General features: G+C 39.8%; 1 long non-coding RNA gene across 1 annotated transcript; it reads right to left on the minus strand.

Moving 5' to 3' along the window:
- Positions 1-946: 946 nt before the first annotated feature.
- On the minus strand, positions 947-8997 carry LOC105377119 (uncharacterized). Its single transcript, XR_940902.3, has 3 exons — positions 8866-8997; positions 2447-2766; positions 947-1221 (listed from the first exon to the last, which is right to left on the minus strand). It is a non-coding gene; the product is annotated as an uncharacterized LOC105377119 (long non-coding RNA).
- Between the last annotated feature and the right edge of the window lie 13022 nt (positions 8998-22019).

Below are 22019 nucleotides of genomic sequence, written 5' to 3' on the forward strand. Positions count from 1 at the left end.
AGATTCTATAGATATTAAAAGATCATAAATTCTATAGATATTAAAAGAAAAATTAAAGAAATTAAGAAAAATTAAAGAATATTGTGAACAACTTAATACCGACAAATATGACAATCAGATTCAGTGTCCAGGACAGTGAAACCAGCTACTGAAAAGAGGGATGTTTATGGAGGACTCTAAGAGACATCACCAAGGTTTCCCATAATAATGTGTTTATACAGGAATCCCTTCAGGAGACCCTCTAATTTGGGCACATTGTGCTGAAGATTATTAGCCTTACAGGTTTTTTATGGTGGCTCAGAAAAATCAGGAAAAAATGAGATACATGCAAATTTCAAATTATATAGGTGCTTCTTCTCTTTCTGAGAATTAAATGCAACTGCAAGAGTCCCTTCATTCTGAGTGGGATGATCAGTGGCAATCCATCTGTAAAGTATAATCAATCAACTTCTAGATAATGTATTTGGATCACTGTGCAAAGTTCTGGTAAAATATACAAAAAGATCTGACTACCGTGGAACTTAGAATATCCATGGAAAATTTTATTCATTATGTTTATTTTGCAACAACAATAATAGAGCCTACTCACTGTATTCAAAAGAAAAAGTTTTCAAAAGTTTGAAAGTGACACTCAAAACTTTTATTTATTTATTTATTTATTTTATTTATTTATTTTTTGAGACTGAGTCTCACTTTGTCACCCAGGCTGGAGTGCAGTGGTGTGATCTCAGCTCACTGCAACCTCTGCCTCCCGGGTTCAAGCAATTCTCCTGCCTCAGCCTCCCAAGTAATTGAGATTACAGGCACCCGCCAATACGTCCAGCTAATTTTTGTATTTTTATTAGAGATGGGGTTTCACCATGTTGTCCAGGCTGGTCTTGAACTCCTGACCTCAGGTGATCTGCCCGCTTTGGCCTCCTAAAGTGCTGGGATTACAAGGGCGAGCCACTGCGCCCAGCCTGATACTCAAAATTTTATAGATATTTGCCCACCCAGTCAAAAAGAAGCCCTATGCAGTTGATATCATTAACTTCATTTTAAAGGCCAGAAAAATGAGGCAACATGCCCAAAGTCACAATCATGATTCAAGCTGGGTCCACCTACTGTCAAAGTGCACATGGTAGCCAAGTGGTTAAGAATATCGAGTCTGAAACCAAGCAGACCATCACTTCCAGACCTCCAAACTCCCCACCACTTCTGTCTGAGCCTCATTTTCTTCACCTGTAAATGGAAATAAGAACAATTACCCTTCAGATTCACAAGGGAATTTAGACAAGAGACATGTTGATAAAACATGGTAACACTTTAACTAGAGTTTTGTCTTGGTTTGTGTTCCCTAGAAATAGACCCTGAGGTAAAGATTCAAACACAAGTAGTTTATTTGGGAAGTAGTCCCCAAAATATAAGAGAGTGAGGAATGAGATAGGAATTGGAAGGAAGCCAATAAATGGTATGTTATCAAACAAGTCATCACTCGACCACTGGAGCACACTCCTGCTGGGAAACCACAGGAGACAGCGTAAAATATGCCTAGAGCTACCCCAACTGAGAGGTGGGAGTATTCATCCACCAGCTCCCTGTCCATCACTGGTTGAGAACAGCTTCTGAGAGCATTAGCTTGTTGCTGTTGGCTTGCTCTTGGCCAAGCATGTTCCCAAAACCAGAGGAAAAAAAAAAAAAAAAAAAAACCTTCAGGCATAGATTTGGAGACATTCACGGTAAGGAACTTTCTGTGTATAAAGGTGGGTGCTGAGAGTTATGGCCAGGGTACCAATAGCAGCTGCTACAACACTGAGACAAGAACTGGATTCTGAGACAAAGAAGCAAAGAAAAGAGATTTACTTTTTTTTTTAACTTCATCAGGAGCCCAGAATGTCTAGATAAACCCCAAGTCTATTTCATTTTGTACCAACGTTTCCTTGTTGAATATTTCCAAGCATGATTCCATTTCCTGGACTCCAGAGTGAAATGATCTGGTGAAGAAAGGCTATCCATTAGTCTCCACCTCCAGGTCAACCTAAGGATTCTTGGCTTGAGGTGGTGAGGCAACCAGTGCTCAAATCCACAGTGTACCCAAAACTACCCCGGCATCGTTGCACATCCACCCAAGCCTCAGCTTCCTTACCTAAGAATGATGCCTGCACACCATCTCCCTCTATGTAAACACAAAGCTTTTCCTAAGCCCCCACTATGTGCCCCACTCCAGGATAGGAATTGAAAGATAAATAAGACAATGTTCTCGTTTTAAAAGACTTTCCTGCCTAGAAGACAAATAAGTAAACCAACAATGACCATACAATGAAAATAGTGCTATAACAAAGGCAATCACATAAGGCTAAAAGAGCTACAACAACAACAACAAAAAGTAATCAATTAATGCGCGGGAGAGAAAGAGCACATCTGAAGGAGGTGACACAAAGTCGATCTTTGTGGTGGCCTTACACACCTATTACAGAGGCTGCAGCAGCTGTTGCTCTGAGCTCCATTCTAGCACTCACACCAAGGTCATGTCTCCACAAGCTGCTCCATTCCCATAACTCAAAAGAGCAGGGATACTAAGGCAGGCCCATTCCAGGAAGCCAAGGCTGGCTCAGGGATGATGCCTTTGCTTAACCTTTCTTAAACTGTGAGACAGGCCAGATACTCCCACTATCCAATGTTCTCTCCTTGTCTCCTTCACTCTGGATCAGAGTTGCATTGCAGTCTGATGACTCCTTCAGTCCTTTCCAGCTTCCTCCGAATTTCATTTCACACAGGCATTTCCCCCTAAAGAAAAAATATATATATTTGAATGTTTAATCTTGCCTTGGCATTTTTTGGATGATCTAGACTAACTGTCTTGAAGGATTAGTAGCAGTTAGATAGGCAGAGAAGGCCAGAAAATGCACATTAACCAGGAGAAATGGTGTGAGCAAAGGCAAGGAGGAAGGGAAAGCTATCCCTGTTCAGTGTAAGCAAGGACAACAAGTGGATAGAGTTTAGGACACTAGGGTGGGAAGTAAGAGGGTATGAGTGGGAAATTAGTTTTTGAGCTAAATGATTTTTGCCATTAAAATGAATGGCAAAAACAGCAATTGCTTTTGCACCAACCTAATATATTAGAAGGAAAAGGGCTAGAACCAGATCATCCAAAACCTGTTAGGAAATTTGAATCTTTTCCATATGACACTGAGGAGACTTTAGGGAGTTTTAGGGAAAGAGAACAAAATCAGGTCCTCACTGCCTAGGCCACAGGAGCAAATGGATCAGAGGACATCGGAACCAGGGACTGGGAGGTCAGATAGAAGACACTGCAGTAACTCTAGTGAGCTATCATGAGAACCTGACCTGGGGAGAGCAAAGCTGACAAAGAAGAGAGAAAAGACCCAAGTGATATTTACAAGGTAAAATTACTAGAACTTAGACACCACTGAGTATGAAGAATGGATGAAAGTGAGGAATTGGGGAAAATACCCAGGTTTCTATTGCATGGAAGCAGACGACTTCACTGGAAATGAACTGGCAGAGAGAGACCCACACTGCTCTTCACTATGTTCCATGACATTCACAACTCACAGTTCTTCTGAAATTTAAAAATCACAACTAAGTTGGCATTTCCCAAAGGCACACCCCCAAATCCTCAAAAGCCACTGAGACCATCTCATGCAACACACATTGCTAGAAATGTGGTTTTCCAGTTCAACAATTTGGCCAACCAGTAATGGAATGAAGAATGCATGTGGTGGTGTCAGCAGTGCCTGGGGGAAATGGAGGTGGAGAGCCCAGTTGAGACATGCCTTAGTCATAGAAAGAGGCCAAGGCTAGAGATGAAGAGTAAGGAATCATCAACACACAGGTAGAAATCTAAGCCACAAGGCTTTAATAGCTCACCCAGAAAGAGAAGAACAGAAATCCTGTGTATGTTTCCTATGGCTGCTGTAGCAAATCAACTCAATCTTGGTGGTTAAAACAACACATATTTATTATCACAACAAAGCTCTGGAGGTCAGAAGTCAGAAATGAGCTTTATGGGACCAAAATAAAGGCAACAGCAGAGCTGCATTCCTTTTCGAGGCTCTAGGGGAGAATCTGTCCCTTGCCTATTCCAGCATCTGGAGACTGTGCCTGCATTGCTCAGCTCATGGTCTCCTCCCAGCAATGGCTTCACTCCAACTTCTTTTTTCGTCGTATTTTCTTCTCTGACTCTCCTGCCTCTCTCACACACAACTTAAAGGCTCCTGTGATTACATCTCGCTCACTCAGATAATCCAGAAATATCCCCCCATCTCAAGATACTTAATCATACCCACAAAGCCCTCTTGCCATGTAAGGTAACATATTCCCAGGTTTTGGGGATCAGGACATGGATATCTTTGGGTGACCATCATTGTGCCTCTGGCAGCTAGGGACTAAGCCCTGGAGAACATGACTATTTATGGAACAGGCAAGCCTTGGAACAAGATAAAGAACTAAAGACAGGAATGAATTCCAGACAGTCAGTTACCGGTGACATTTTCAATTTCAAGGGTATCTTAGCTCCAGTTAAAATCACTGCATTGAGAAGTGAGGTTTGGCTTTTTTCCCCTCCCTTCCTATCTGTGATCTACATCACCAACTCAAGAGTAAAAAGCTATTTCGCGGTGGAAAAAAAGCACAGGGATATGCATAAAGAAGCATTGCAAGAATCATAATTATCATTCTGAAGTTACTCCTCCTCCGAGAAAAATAGGCATCTTCCCAAGGCCTCCTCTCCCTCAGTGAAATGCTGTGGCCCCATGAGGTTGTTCTTGATCGTGGGATAAATCTGGGTCCTGTGTGGACTCCTAGAAGCCCTTGAAGCTCTCTAGCTCAGTTCCTCCCTACCATTGAGAGGTCTCCTCTCCATTTCTAACTGATAACTTTAAGGCTTGATGGCAAACACAGTCAAGCTAGGATGTCACACTCTTCCCCTGACTCATGGTTGAACTCAGCAGCCTCTCCCTGACAGTTCACTTGGAAAATGGCTGGCTTCAGACATTTGCAAAGGATGGGATAATTTACTGAATTTTCTCCTCCTCAGCTTCAAGCAGGGAGTCTGGCCCTGGAAATTTCCTTGCCTTAAGAATTTTCTATCATCTGTGGCAGGGCAAACAGTAAGATGAGGCCAGAGTTCACAAAGTGTGTCTTAGGTCAAATTCTCCAGAACAAAATCCTGACACAAGAATTCACTTGCGAGTGATTTATTAAGAAAGTGTTCCCAGGAGAAACTGATAATGGAATAGGGAAATCAAGAAAAGGGAGAAGAAAAGGCTAAATAGGGTACAATATCAAGCAAACTTGCAGTTTTAGACTGATCCTATTACTCCTCAGAATTTGCCCTGCCAAAAGAAAGGAAGCCAGGCTTTTAAATGCCCTCCACTAGTCAGTCACTAGCTGAGAGTAACCTTGATAGGATGTGTACTCCTGGCCCCTGACAGCTCTCTGTACATATACCTTGAACACAAAACAGTGCCTGGCACAGAAGATCAGGAAATATTTGTTGAATAAAATAATTAATATTATGATGATTACTGTCATCGTCTTTTTGTTGTTGTAGCATTAAATAATATATATAGCAGAAGTGCAAATATGAACATGTGCACTGCAGGTCTGCACAGGGCATCATCTCAACTAAATGGTTTGTTTTGTCAAAATAAATGAAGCGGGTGTTGCCACTCTAAAACCATCACCAACAGTTTTACTGCCATTTCTCTGCAGCTAAACACAAATGTGACAATGAAAGGAAAGGACACAAAACTGGGCATCTTTCACTGGAATTTGCCTGAGAAAGAAGAAAATGACAAGAGGTGGAGGGAGAAGAGAGGACTAAGAGGCCCTGTAAAAATATGTGGTCGAGGCCAGGTGCTGTGGTTCACACCTGTAATTCCAGTACTTTTGGAGGCCGAGGCAGACTTGATCACCTGAGGTCAGGAGTTCAAGACCAGCCTGCCCAACATGGTGAAACCTCATCTCTACTAAAAATACAAAATTAGCCAGGCATGGTGGCACGCGCCTGCAGTCCCAGCTACTTGGGAGGCTGAGGCAGGAGGAACCCAGGAGGCTGAGGTTGCAGTGAGCCAAGATCGTGCTACTGCACTCCAGCCTGGGTGACAGAGCAAGGCTCCATCTCAAAAAAAAAAAACATGGCCGATTTGCCAATTTACACCTGAGGCTCCATTATTGCCCATCAATTGCCTTGGCAATAGAGTCCAGCTCTGAAATTAGACAAACCTGAGTTCAAAAGATCCTCCAGCATTTATTATTGGGTGGCCTCAGATGAGTGGCTTAACTTCTCTAGGCCTCAGTTTTTTTCATTTGTAAAATGAAAGTAATAATAATAACCTTCTCCTAGGATGATTCTGAGGAATGAATGAGTTAGTGAATGACCAAATGCATTTACCATGCCTCACAGAGAGTACTCAATTATTATTGTTATTATTTTTGTTGTTGTTGTTTGGGCTTTAGTCCCTCAGGTCTTTTCCTCTGTCCAGTTCACTTATCCACTCACTCAATTAATATTTATTGAGTGCTGACACAATGTGATGTTATCAGAGGAGGCTCAGGAAATACAGTAGAAAATAAGACAAGTATTTAACAGACTAACACAGTTAACATTGGTAATAATTAAACATTTGTTGAACATTTACTCTAACCAGCTTCTATTCCAAATGCTTTATATACATTGTCCCATTTAATATTCTCACAGCACCTCCATGAAGTTGACCATTTTGTCATCCTTGTTAGAGAACCCAAGATTAGATAGATTAAGCTACTTGTACAAGGTCATGCAGCCAAGTGGTACAGTGAGGTAGACCTCTGTTTAATCGTAATTAAGCAGACTCCTCTGTTTAATCACAAGGGGTTATGATGCCCCCACCGCCAGGGCTCTGCCAGAACTTTAGGTTGATCTCCAATATGTGACGCAAAGTTGTCAACCAGTCTCTAAGCCTGAGGCTCTGGAACAATACTCAGCACTCAACAAATTGGGGAAGATAACAAATTTTTCTACTAAACCAAAGCTGTGACAGATCTAATTGAATGCTGGAAGCAGTATGATTGCTTGTGATTTGCCCAGGATGAATGGCTCTGCTTGTCTTCATTTCAAAAGGCATTGCTTCCTGCCTGTGACACAGCCCTGGAGAATACATATTCTTTCCCCAGAAAAATCAGCAAAAAATAATTTCCAAAATATTTCCAACATTCCTCCAACCCACAAGCCCAGCTAAATGAAATTAAATTTCACCTTTCCTGAAGGTGAGTCTGTTTTTAAGTTTGAGCGATAGACTGATGTTTAATTTCAAATCCCCAAACATTGAGGCTATTGATTTTGGTAAGTATAAAGATTAATATTTCTGAAGAGGATAGATGGAAGAAAATATCCAGGCAATTACAAGTAACATCCATTAAAGAAACAATAAATATTTAATAAGTTGAAGGAACTGCTAATATAGGAGAAGCTGAGAAGAGTTGGAAGATCAGTATGTGGGGTGGGGTAGGGGGAGAGAGAAAGAGAGTAAGAGAGAGAGAATTTACTACTTACAAAATTCTACTTCCTCAATTTGTACATTTATTAGGCCAGAGGACTGGTTCAGCCCTCTTTCCAGAGTTTGCACCTCTCTTTCCAGCCCCCTCTATTAAAACCTAGAAATTCAGGCATGTGATGAAAAGTAAAGATAGAACACCTTACTTTTGCAGTGGGAAATGTGGCACTGGGAGCTGGAAATGTGTTAGCAAGATGGAAGAATTACATCCTAGAATAATCTAAGCAACAAGAAGTTAGACTTGATGTTTACACCCTCTGAAATACACAGTGATACTTAACTAGAGGCAGGCCTTTGAATAATTTTTTAATTTTTTTATATTGAGAGAAAAATATTTCCTGCTTACAGCTTCTGCCTAGGTTCTGGCATAAACCAATTCTGTGTTAAAAGAAGAAAAAGGCACTGTATCATAGGGAGGTTATAAGAATTAATTGAATGATTCATAAAGGAGTGCCTGGCACCTAGTAAGTGCTGTGTATTAGTTTAAGATTGGTTTGAAACTTAAATAGAAGATTGGCCCATAGAGAATTACATTTTAATAAGATCACTTGAGAATCAGGGTGGGTGGAGGATGGACTGGAAGGATGAAATTGAAGGTGGGAATATGTGTTGGAGGGCTGCTACAGGAATCCAGGAGAGAGACGATGGTGGCCTGAACCAGCTGGCCGCACTGGGGATAGAAAGAAATAAGGAAATTCTCTTTAATTCAGGAGATAGAACCCACAGGTCATGACAGTGGTTGACTATGAGTATACAAGTAAATGGAGAAGTCCTGGGTGACATCCAGGTTATTTAAGCAAATTGCAGCACCATTTACTAAGAAGGGAAATGTGAAACAAGAGTGGACTGGTGTAAAGTTCAGTCTTTATGCCCCACTCCCTCTATTTTTCATGCTACACAGTCACCAAGTGGTTTCAGATCAAAGGTTTGGAGAGTGGACTCTTTAATCTGAAGGCTTAGTGTCTAATCATGACTCTTCCATATACTAGTTCTGTTTCCTTGGATAAATTATTAAGCCTCTCTGTGCCTCAGTTTTCTCATCAGTAAAATGGAACAATAATAGTAATCTAACTTATGGAAGCATAATTAATTCCTTATGTAAGGCACATAGCATGGAATCTGGCATATTGAAATACTGTCTATACATTTTACTCCTTGGTATCACTACATGATTATTGATTACAAAATCAATATGCATAGTGAACATCTGAATTACTCTCCTTTGAATGGATTCAGCTGGTCTGAACCTTTTTCAAATTATTGGTCCCCAGTACTACAAGGGCAAAAGCAGACATTTCAGGTGTTGCCGTGAGCATACTATTCACACCTCAGGGTCTTCTCTATTTCCTCTTGCTGGAACATTCTTCCTTCTGTCTTCATCTTTCACATCACAATTGAAAGTTTACTTCAAAACTCCTAGAAGAAAACGTAGGTGAACAACTCAATGACATTGGTTTTGGCAATGATTTTTTGGATATGACACCAAAAGCACATGTAACAAAAGTAAAAGTAAATAAGTGTGACTAGTACATCAAACTAAAAAGTTTCTGCACAGAAAAGGAAACAGTCAACCAAATGGGAAGACAACTCATAAAAAAGGAGAAAATATTTGCAAATCATATATCTGATAAAGGGTTAATATCCAAAATATATAAGGAACTCAAACAACTTAATAACAAGAAAACAAATAACCTGGTTGAAATATGGGCAAAGAACTTGAATAGATTTTTTTTCCAAAGAAGACATACAAGTGGCCAACAAGTATATGAAAATGTGCTCAACATCACCAATCATTAGGGAAATACAAGATAAAATCATAATGCAGTAACATATCACACCAGATAGGATAGCTATTATCAAAAAGTCAAAAGAGGCCAGGCGCAGTGGCTCATGCCTATAATCACAGCACTTTGGGAGGCCAAGGCAGGAGGGTCACTTGAGCCCAGGAGTTCAAATCCAGCCTGGGAAATATGACAAGATCCTGTCTCTAATAAAAATTAGTCAGGCATGGTGGCACACACCTGTGGTCCCAGTTACTCAGGAGGCTGAGTTGGGAGGATTGCCTGAGCCTGGAAGGTCAAGGCTACAGTGAGCCGTGTTCATGCCACTGCACTCCTGGGTGACAGGGTGAAAGCCTGTCTCAAAAAAAAAAAAAAAGTGAAAAGATAAGTGTTGACAAGGATATGAAAAAAAAGGGGGATCCTTTTACATTGTTGGTGGGAATGTAATTGGTAAAGCCATTATGGAAAGCAATATGGAAATTCCCCCCAAAATTAAAAATATAGCTATCATATGATCCAGCAATCCCACTTTTTTGAGTATATATCCAAAGAAAACGAAATTAGTATCTCAAAGAGATACCTGCCCTGTCATGTTCATTACAGTTTTTTTTTTTTTTTTCTGAAACAAGATCTCACATTGTCACCCAGGTTGGAGTGCAGTGGCTCAATCTAGACTCACATATTCAAGCAATTTTCCTGCCTCAGCCCCACCAAGTAGCTGGAACTACAGGCATGTGCCACTATGCCTGCTTATTTTTATATTTTTTTGTAGAGATGGGGTTTCGCCAGGTTGCCCAAACTGGTCTCGAACTTCTGACCTCAAGCAATCTGCCTGCCTTGGCCTCCCAAAGGGCTGGGATTACAGGCGTGAGCCACCACACCTGGCATCATGTTCATTACAGCCTTATTCACAATACCAAAATATGGAAACAACCTAAGTGTCCACCAGTGGATGAATAGATAAAGAAAAGATTGTACACGTATACAATGAAATGTTATTCCATCTTCAGAAAGAAGAAAATCCTGCCATTTGTGACAATGTGGGTAACCCAGATGACATTATCCTAATTGAAATAAGCCGGACACGGAAAGACAAATACTGCATGATGTCACTTATAAACGGAACCTGAAAATACTCAAACTCATAGAAACAGAGCATAAGGGTACTTACCAGGGGTTGGTGGAGTGGGAGAAAAGGAGAGATATTTGTCAAAGGCTATTGGAAATTGCCAAGTTACATTGGTAATTGTAAGATGAATAAGTTCTGAAGACTTAATGTAAAACATGATGACTATAGTTAATAATAAGGTATACTTGAAATTTGATAAGACAAGCTGGGAGCAGTGGCTCACACCTATAATCCCAGCACTTTGGGAGGCCAAGGCAGGTGGCTAACTTCAGGTCAGGAGTTCAAGACCAGCCTGGCCAACATGGTGAAATCCCATCTCTACTAAAAATACAAAAACTTAGCTGGGTGTGGTGGTGTGCACCTGTAATCTCAGCTACTCAGGAGGCTGAGGCAGGAGAATAGCTTGAACTCAGGAGGCGGAAGTTGTAGTGAGCCAAGATCGTGCCACTGTACTCCAGCCTGGGCGACAGAGCAAGTCTCTGCATCAAAGAAAAAAAAAAAAAAGAAGAAATCTTCTAAGACAGTAAATTTTAAGTAGTCTCATCACCAAAAGAAGGGGGTAATATGTTAATATGTAAGGTGATGGATGTGTTAAATAGTTTGATTGTGGTCATGATTTCACAAAGTTTATGTATGTCAAGACATCACATTGTAGTCTTTGAATGTATAAAAAGTGTGTTTGTCAATTATACCTCAACAAAGTTAAAAAAAAAATTAAAAGGTTACCTCCCCAGGGAAGCTCACCGTGAAACACTCTAGCCTTACACTAGATGAGCAGCGTGTGCTCGGATACTCTTATAGTATAGTACCATGGTGTTTTTCTTTGTATCATTGTCACAAACCTAATGTCGATCTCCTCAAACCAGACTCTAAGCCCCATAAGGACGGGAAGCATTTTATGATCTTATCCCCAGTGCCCAGGCTAGGGCTTAGCACACAATCAATATAGTTGACTCTTGAACAACACAAGTTTGAACTGTGAGAGTCCACTTATACGTATATTTATTTCAACCAGAGATGCAAAATACAGTATTTGGGGGATGTGAAACTCCAGTATCCAGAGGGCTTTTTGTATGTGCAGTTTCTACAGGGCTGACTGCAGGACTTGAGTATGTGCACACTTTGGTATATGAGGGGCTCTTGCAATGAATCCTTACTAGCTGTGTGATTTCAGGCAAGCAGGTTCACCTGTCTAAGCCTCAATGTATTTATCTGTAGAATGAGGACAATTATATAATGATACATTCTACTCTGTAGAGTTGTCATAAATGTTAAGTGAGAACAGATGTGCAGAGTTCTGTGCACAAGGCCTAGAACAGCTAAGTGCTCCAAATGCGTGATCTACTACTAATATTATTATGACTGTTTTTGTATTTGATTCCAGGTTATACCCTCAGTAAGAAGAACTCATCCTCCACCCTCCTGTATTTACAGAACAAGGCTTCCTTGCTTTTCACTAGCCTATTCACCAGTTCTTTTAAGCACCACATACTAACAAATTTCTAGAACTATATTAGCAAGAAGAAAAACTTTCCCGGATTCTCATATTATCCTCAGGTCAGGGAAAAAGCCAAAGTAGAAAAGGAGGATTATTGCCACTGGGAATGTTATATAATTTTTCATGCAATTAGACCATCCTCCCCAACTTTGTTCCAAAAGTTCCAGTAATCAAATTCTGATTTTTTTTATCACAAGCATAAAAGCAAAGAAGGGTGAAGAAATCTCTCTCTGACAAATGAGGAGAAGACTGGTTCTCTCAACTTACAAGAGTAAACAATGGCTCTATTCCCAGGTCGTTTTTCACAGAGGTTATTGATGCTCTCTCCAGATCTTTCTGTTTCTGGCCTATACCATCCCCCAGCTTCTGCAGTTATTGGATGCTGATTGCTCATACCTGTGTCTGTCTCCAGATGCTGAAGGGTTGCCTAGTCCAAACATATCTGGGAGTTTTGACCTCCACTCCCAAGGATAGTGTGTGGCCAATGGCTGACTAGGTGGAGATATAAAAGCCAGGCCCTGAGAACCTAGGCAGAACAACCTCTGTAGTGCAACTTACACTCAAGAGCATATCCTGAAATCAGGCTGGACGTTGCCAAAAAAAAATAATAATAATCTATGCACCTATGGGGGGGCTGTGTTCCCACCCAAATCTCATCTTAAATTGTAGCTCCCATAATCCCCATGTGTCAGGGGAGGGACCTAGTGGGAGGTAATTTCATCATAGGGGCGGATTTTTCCTGTGCTGTTTCCTGATAGTGAATAAGTCTCACTAGACCTGATGGTTTTATAAAGGGCAGCTCTGCTGCACACGTTATCTTGCCTGCTGCCTTGTAAGATGTGACTTTGCTTCTCCTTTGCTTTCCACCATGATTGTGAGGCCTCCCCAGCCATATGGAACTGTGAGTCCACTAAACCTCTTTTTCTTTATAAATTACCCAGTCTCAGATATTTTTCATAGAACTATGAAAATTGACTAATACACTTACCCTTCGTTCCCTCCCTTACAGATCCCACCTGAGGCACCACTGTAATAAACCTCTTGCACAAGAATCCACATCTTAGACTCTGCTTTTAAGGAGCCCAAATTAAGATACTGGACTCTAATTAAACCAGCTATTAATAGGCTTAATGTGACGATTGTAAAAGAGGCTAATCTTAGCTCATGAGGATAATGTAAAAAGTATTTTAAAAGGAGATATTTAAAATAGTAAATCAGATCATCATTACTCCTTAATTTTCCATCACCATATAGTTTGAAAAATCCTTTTACATATACTGAAAGGAGGTTAATATTGTCCTTCTCCTTTTTGAGGTGGATAAACTGAGGCTCAAAGAGGTTAAACTCATCATATTCAAATACATCTTAAACATTTGGTGACTATTGCTTGAATTAATTGTTTAAGCCCTGTGCCAGATATTGTAAGTTCACTTATTCAACACCCACCCCAACCATCTTCCCTTCCTCTGCTCTAGAGGCTAGAAAGTACAATGTATGCTTGCATGCTTTCCCAGTCTTCTCAGCATCTCATGGTGTCCATGTGATGTATCTCTGGTCAATGAAATGAAAACTCCTAGTTAGGGCTTTTCTCCCAAAATAAACAGCAAAGTCTCAAAATGAAGTGCACTTCTCCTTCTTCCTGCCTGCCCAAACATGACACAAGGCCGGAAGTGGAACAAGTATCTGGAAAGAGTAAGGAGGATGAAGAATAAATCTAGATGTGGGAGACGATGGAGCAGAACAAGACAGAGAGCCTGGAACACTGAAAACACCATGGATCTGGTACACAAGCTGTAGGCGGCCTGCCTCTTGTGACCAGCAGCCAAACGTAAATATGAACGGAGACAAATCTTGATATCGGTTTAGGGAAACTTAAAAATGCTGCACATGCACACGGCTGGAATAGAAGTTCAAGTGTTATTTTAAAAGCTAGAAAGGGACATGTATGAAAAAAGCCAACATACTAGCAAAATTACTCAGCGTGCTAAAGGGAATGTCATGGAAAATCATGAAAAAAAGTTCTTGTTTTCCAGTGATGTATTGCCTAACTCCAACTCTCCATAAAATGAAATGTCTTTGCACAAGTGGATGCAAATGCTTTCTTTCCTTCTTAAAATAGTCCAAATATTATTTTACATATATTGATCAATAAATAGCAGCCATATATAATAGGTTCTATTATTACCTCCTCTTTGTAGATGACAGAACCAAGGCTGTGAGACTATGCTGTCTGGTATGATACCCACTACCCATATGAGGCTATTTTTAATTTTAATCTAAATTAATTAAAATTAAATCATATTTAAAATTTAGTTTCTCAGTCACTCTAGCCACATTTTAAACATATGTGGCTAGTGACTGTCACATTGACCAACACAGCTTTAGAGTATTTTCATCACCACAAAACCTTTCATTGGACATGTTGCTCTAATTGGCAAAGTAATTTGTGTAAGATTCTATGACTATTAAAAATTTGAGCTTATCCCAACTTCTACCTCATAGAACAAACAAGCTCACTTTAGGACAGTGTTTTGTGTCCTGCTTGTTGTTGTAACAAATCACCACAACTCTAATGGCTTACAATCGTACAAATTTACTGCGTTGTAGCTCTGGAGGTCAGGCATCTGAAATGGGACTCACTGGGCTAAAATTAAGGTGTTGGCAGAGCCGTGTTCCTCCTGGGGGTTCTAGGAGATAATCTGTTTTTTTGCCTTTTCCATCTTCGAAAAGTCCCTAATACCTTGGCTAGCAGCCCCATTTTCCATATTCAAAGTCACCAACCATGAGCTGCATCTTCCCCACGCTGCTCTCTCTCTGGTTCTCCCTCTTCTGCCTCCCTCTTCCATTCATAAGAACATGTGATTACAGTTTGCAGTGTCCCCACCTAGATAATCCAGGATAATATGTCCATCTCAAGGTCCACTAATTAGTGATCTTAATTCTATCTGCAAACTCAATTCTCCTTTGCCTTGTCACCAAACATGTTCACAAGTTCCAGGGATTAGGACATGGACATCTTTGGAGGTCATTTTCTGCCTCCCACAAGCAGCATTCCCTCCGTGATCTGACCCCATCTGTTTTTCAGCCTTTTTTTTTCCCTTGAATTCTTTTTTATATTCCTTGTGCTCCAGCCAAACAAAAACGTTCACTGTCCCCCAGCAATACCATTCAATCCAACAAACACAATTAAAACATCTTCTATGCTCTTCAACCCTAGAGAAACAAAATACATTTAGAGCAGGCCCCTCTCTAGAGGACCTCTTCTCCAGGCCCTTGTTTCTTAGATGTTCCCTTTTCCACAAACAGCATTTTAAGCCCCACCCATAGCCCAACCTAAGTACACCTTATCTTTTAATTCTAATCCTAAAAATTCTGTTCAAATAGCAACAAATCCACCAGACAATGTCTGAGATCACTCCAGAATCAGATGGTGGTCAATGGTGGAGCATTTGGCTGCAGCTCCAGAGATGTTTCCAGCCACATCTAGGTGTCCCGTTTGGTGACTCTGGGAGACAGGATATGTACAGGCTATGGCATATGAATAGAAACATGGACTCTAGAGTCAGAAGGCCTGTGTTTGAATCCCATAAGAAATGACTTTACCTTTTAATAATGGAATCTCTTTCTCCTCCTCTCTGTTGTGTGTATGTGTGGAGAGAAGAGTGGGGGCTAAGAAGGGTCCATGTGACTATTAAGATACTTACTTCATTTCAACTTGTTTATTTGATTTGTTTATTGTAACTCTTCTATTTAGATGAAATGGACCTTGCTAATATTCTTTATCCTTACATTTACCTATGTCCTTCTCAGGATCTTTGTTGAGTGCCTGGGTAGAGCATCCAGAAAGGGTCTATGAACACACAATGTCACAACAATGCCAAGGACTTTATGATAGTGATAAATGAACTTCAACACAAAAGAAATGTAAGACCCTACCAATGAGGACAGATGGAAAATAAAATCACATTTTCCAGGGTGATTTATCTAAAGTCATTTATGAGAAGACATTTCAGGGCAAACAGGCCACATCAGAGGAGCATATCTCTCAGGGTAAGTCAACCACCAAGGAGGGAAAGATTGTTTTTATACAGCATGGCCCCTAAATGCAAGACAATACTTAATCTGTTATTAAACTGAAAAATAAGAAACTTATTCAACACTAGAAAGGGAAAAATCACTTTTTAGCTTTTTGGGCTTAGTGAGAGAGACTACAGTGTACATGATGCTTTTTTTGGCACTTTATTGATAATTTAAAGGATTTTCAAGGGTAATTTTGATGCTACACAATTTTTGCCATATGTGCTGACTTTAAACACTAACTCCCACATAAGATATGACGCTACCCTTATGTCTTTTAGCACCTCAGGCCTCAAAAGTCATTCATATTATATTAGTTTCTTCAAAGGCTCTCTGATTCTAATAGAAATCGGCCCCACTAAATCCTAGTATTCATGTTTGCTTTTAAACAACTCACACCTTGGTTTAATGCAGAGGAGCTGTTTCCAGTCTTATTTTGACTGCTTTTAGCATCCTGGGCCCAGGCCCTAAAGAGCTTAGGGTCAGATGGGCCTTGAAGTTTAATTATTAAAGCAGCAATTATACAACTGAGAAGAATGAAATTGAAAATGAATCCAGCAGCTGATAGTGGGGTGAGTTTGAGGGGAGTCAGGGGAACTGTAAGGACTAAAAGCCACAGACACAACCAAACAGAGATTTGCATAAGCAAATGAAAACAAATACAATGCACTTTACAAAATTACGGAATGGAACTTTCTCTTTATTATTTCCACCATCTTATCAAAAAAATGGATGTAATTCTAAAACATTGCCTGGTCATTGGGAGATAGAGTATGGAGCTGGAAGGAAGGAGACCTCCGATTCAGACCTAATCTTTTAGCTCAGGCTCTGGGGAACTTGGCAAATGACTTCATTTTCCTGTCAAAAAGAGAAGAGTGTTTTCTCACAGTGTGTTTCATGTAACACCCGGTGTGAAAAGTATTATGTATGTAAAATTGTCTATAGTCAAATAAATTTGGCCTTGCATGTTTGTCTTGCCATATTCCCGTCTTAGAAATTCACCATGTCCATTAGCATATTAAAGACTCTGAGAAGTCCTGCAGCAAATTAAGCACTTTGCTTAAATTCAGTATTTCCAAATATCATTGAGCATAGATATCTTTTTTGGTGAGACATCATTTAAAGTGTGTTTCAAGGAACACACTTTGAGCAACCTGAACAACTTCATATAAACTCTGTGAGGGTAAAGGTCGTGTCTGTTTGTTCACAGAGTGCCTGGTACAGAGTAAAATGAGGGGCTGGAAAACTACGATCTGGAGGCCAGATCTAGCTCATGAGTTCAGTATGGTTTTTACATGTTTAATATTTGGGAAAAAAAATAGAAAACACAATATTTTATGACACAAAGAATATAAAATTCAAATTCCAGTGTCCACCCATAAACGTTTAATACACCACGCCCATTTGTTTATTTACCTTTTATGACTGCTTTCCAAATGGCAATGGCAGAGTTGTGTAATTGCAACACAATGACAGTAATGGCCCCACAAAGGCTGAAATTTTTACTATCTGGCCCTTTATAGACAAAGTTTGCAGATCCCTAGAGTAGACTCTCAACTAAATTGTGCAGATGAATAAATATCTTTAAAATTCACTATTCTTGCCACTTTCCATGCCAAGCTGCCTCATTTTCTGGGGAGAAGATCGAGGCCTTCCTTTGTTTAATTGGTCTTGTCTTCTTTTTTCTGGTCTCTGCTGTAGTTCATCTAAGCAGTTACTTGAGGTGAGCAAATGTTTGAAATCCAGGTCTTCTCTTCACACCTCACATGTTCCCTAGTTTGCTTCATGAGAGTCTTTCTCAGATATTAAGTATAAACACGCAATGTCAGGAAGGAGAGAAAAAAGGAATTAAGGCTTGGGTGGTTTTGACTGGGATGTCAGAGTTCCCACCATTTTTGTTTGAAAGGGACGAACATAGCAAGAAGAGGAAAGGTGGGACAGGGCACTTTGGATTTCTTTTTAACATTCTGATGTAAAGCACGCAAATCAGCCCCCTAAGAAAAGACCTGGAACACAGATTCTCATTACCACAACCCAAGCTGAAGAAGCAGCACAGGGAACTGGAGTCAGAAGGAAAGAACATGGTCAGAACCCTGGCCCCTGCCACTTAGTTTTCATGTAACCTTAGGCAACAAACTTAACTCTTTTCCTTAGAAAATGGGCCTCCCCAGCATCAACCTGATACCAAAACCTGGCAGAGACATAACAAAAAAAGAAAACCTCAGGGTAATATCCTTTATGAACATTGATGCAAAAATCCTCAATAAAATACTGGCAAACCAAATCCAGCAGCACATCAAAAAACTTAACCAACACAATCTAGTTGGCTTCATCCCATGGTTGTAAGGCTGGTTCCACATATGCAAACCATAAATGTGATTCATCACATAAACAGAACTAAAGACAAAAACCACATGATTATCTCAATAGATGCAGAAAAGGCCTTTGATAAAATTCAACATCCCTTCATGTTAAAAAAGACTCTCAATAAACTACGTATTGAAGGAACACAACTCAAAATGATAAGAGCCATATATGACAGACCCACAGTCAGTATCATACTGAATGGGCCAAAGCTGGAAGCATTTCCTTTGAAAACCAGCACAAGGCAAGAATGCCCTCTTTCACTAATCCCATTCAACATAGTATTGGAAGTTCTGGCCAGGGGAATCAGGCAAGAGGAAGAAATAAAGGGTATTGGTATTTACATAAGAAGAGAGGAAGTCAAATTATCTTTGTTTGCAGATGCCATGATCCTATACCTAGAAAACCTCATCATCTCAGCCCCAAATCTTCTTAAGCTGATAAACAACTTCAGCAAAGTCCCAGGATACAAAATCAATGTGCAAAAATGGCTAGAATTCCTATATACCAACAACAGGCAAGCAAAGAGCCAAATCATGAATGAACTCCCATTCACAATTGCTACAAAAAGAATAAAATACCTAGGAATACAGCTAACAAGGGAAGTGAAGGACCTCTTCAAGTGGAACTACAAACCACTGCTCAAAGAAATCAGAGAGGAAACAAACAAACTGAAAAACATTCCATGCTCATGGACAGGAAGAATCAGTATGGTGAGAATGGCCATACTACCCAAAGTAATTTATAGATTCAATGCTATTCCTATTAAACTACCCTTGACGTTCTTCACAGAATTAGGAAAAAAAATGTAATTCATATGGAACCAAAAAAGAGCCCAAATAGCCAAGATAATCCTAAGTAAAAACAACAAAGCTGGAAGCATCATGCTACCCAACTTCAAACTATACTACAAGGCTATGGTAACCAAAACAGCATGGTACAGTTACAAGAACAGACACATAGACCAATGGAACAGAATATAAAACTCAGAAATAAGACTGTGTACCTGTAAACATCTGATCTTCGACAAACCTGACAAAAACAACCAATGGGGAAAGGATTCCTTATTTAATAAATGGTACTGGGAGAACTGGCTAGTCCGATGCAGAAAATTGAAACTGGGCCATTTCCTTACACCATAAACAAAAATTAACTCAAGATAGATTAAAGACTTATATGTAAAACCCAAAACTATAGAAACCCTAGAAGAAAATCTAAGCAATACCATTCAGAACATAGGCATGGGCAAAGATTTCATGATGAAAATGCCAAAAGCAATCGCAACAAAAGCAAAAATTGACAAATGGAATCTAATTAAACTAAAGAGGTTCTGCACAGCAAAAGAAACTATTATTAGAATGAACAGACAACCGATAGAATGGGAAGAAAGTTTTGTAATCTATCCATCTGACAAAGGTCTAATATCCAGAATCTACAAGAAACTCAAGAAAATTTACAGGAAAAAGCAAACTATCCTATTAAAAAGTGGGCAAAGGACATGAACAGCCACATCTCAAAAGAAGACATACATGTGGCCAACAAACATATGAAAAAAAGCTCAACATCACTGATCATTAGAGAAATGGAAATCAAAACCATAATGATATAACATCTCATGCCTATCGGGCTATTATTAAAAAGTCAAAAAGCAACAGATGCTGGTGAGGTTGTGGAGAAAAAGGAATGCTTTTACACTGTTGATAGGAGTTTAAATTAGTTCAACCACTGTGGAAGACAATGTGGTGATTCCTCAAAGACCTAGAGGCAGAAATACCATTTGACCCAGGAATCCATTACTAGGTATATATCCAAAGGAATATAAATCACTCTATTATAAACATACATGCACACATGTGTTTATTGCAGCACTATTCACAATAGCAAAAACATGGAGTCAGCCTAAATGCCCATCAATGATATACTGGATAAAGAAAATGGTGGTACATATACACTATGGAATTCTATGCAGCCATAAAAACAAATGAAATCATGTCTTTTGCAGGGACACGGATGGAGTTGGAAGCCATTATCCTCGGCAAACAAACACAGGAACAGAAAACCAAACACTGCATGTTCTCACTTACAAGTGGGAATTGAATGATGAGAACACATGGACACATGGAGGAAAACAACACACACTGGGGCCTGTCAGGGGTTGAGGGGTTATGAGGTAGCACCAAGAAGAATAGCTAAGGGATCCTGGGCTTAATATCTAGGTGATGGGATGATCTGTGCAGCAAACCATGACGGCACACGTTCACCTATGTAACAAGCCTGCACATCCTGCACATGTACCCCAGAACTTAAAGTAAAAGTTGAAAAAAATTTTTCTAAAATAGATGCTTTCAACAGGCAAAATAAATAAATAAATAAATAAAAGAAATGTAAGTAATTAGACTGTATAACAGAGATAAAAAGTTAAAACTTACGTACTATATGAAATAAGTCTAAACTAATACTGACAATAACTAACACAGTTTTACACTAATTTTAGTAGTGGGTTTCTAGGCAATCAAAATTTTAAAACTTAATGAGAGGCTGAACTTTCATTAATGGAAAAATGGATACATACAAGTTCCTCCATAGGTGAGCTTCCTCCTTAGAACACTAACTCTTAATTGAAAGGTATTACATGAATCCTGTATACAGGCAAAGACTAATTATCTGTTTCTCATAGTGTGAAGAAGTTGGCTGGTTTGTATAGAAGAAATAAAGTACTTAAAAATATAAAAAATAAAAAAAAAGAAAGAAAATGGGCCTCCACAGCCCTCTCCATGTCTTCCCTTTCCCTGCTGTACTCAGCCACCCCAGCCCTCCTTCTCTTTCTCAAACTTACCGACTCATATTTGCTATTGTTTTTGTCAGGAAGGTCCCTCCCCTCCTACCCTTAGCTTTCTCTTTACCTGGCTCACTCTCTCATCTTTGAGGAACCCCTGGGAGGAGGTCCCATGCTTCTCCTGACTACCTCCACTGCACCCTGTACTTCACAGCACTTAGCACCATTGGAACCAAGCACTTGGATGCCTATGTTGTATTCCTTGTGTCTCCCCTTTAGACCAGCACTGCCCGATAGAACTGTCATGTGAGCCATAAATGTAATTTTAAATGTCCTCATGGTCACATTTTTTAAAAAATGAATGGAAGCCGATGAAATTCATTTTTATCATTTACTTTATTTAACCCAATATCTAAAATGTTGCCATTTCAATGTGTCATCAATATTAAAAAACTATTAAAGGTATATTTTACATTTTTTTCACACTAAGTTTTAAAGATCCAGTGTGTATTTTACACTTTACAGCGCAATAAAATTTGGACCAACCCCATTTCAAGGCTCGGTACTGTCACGCAGCCAATGGCTTCGTAATGGACAGCCCAGCTGTGGACACTTAACTCCCTGAAGACACACAGCACATCTATCTTACTGCTGAGTCTCCAGCACCAGACTGTTTTGCTCAGAGAAAGAGCCAGATAAGTACTCGCTTTGGGGTGGTTTTTTTTTTTTTTTTCGCTTTTTTGAAGAATATTTGTACTGAGGAAGAAATGGAGGTACAGAGAGAGGAAGTGATTGGCCCAAGGTCACAGGAATAATTAATGCTAAAGCAATTCTAGCTCCCAACTGCCAACTGTGA

This window comes from Homo sapiens, chromosome 3 (genome assembly GCF_000001405.40).
Source record: "Homo sapiens chromosome 3, GRCh38.p14 Primary Assembly".
In the NCBI taxonomy this organism is placed as follows: domain Eukaryota; kingdom Metazoa; phylum Chordata; class Mammalia; order Primates; family Hominidae; genus Homo; species Homo sapiens.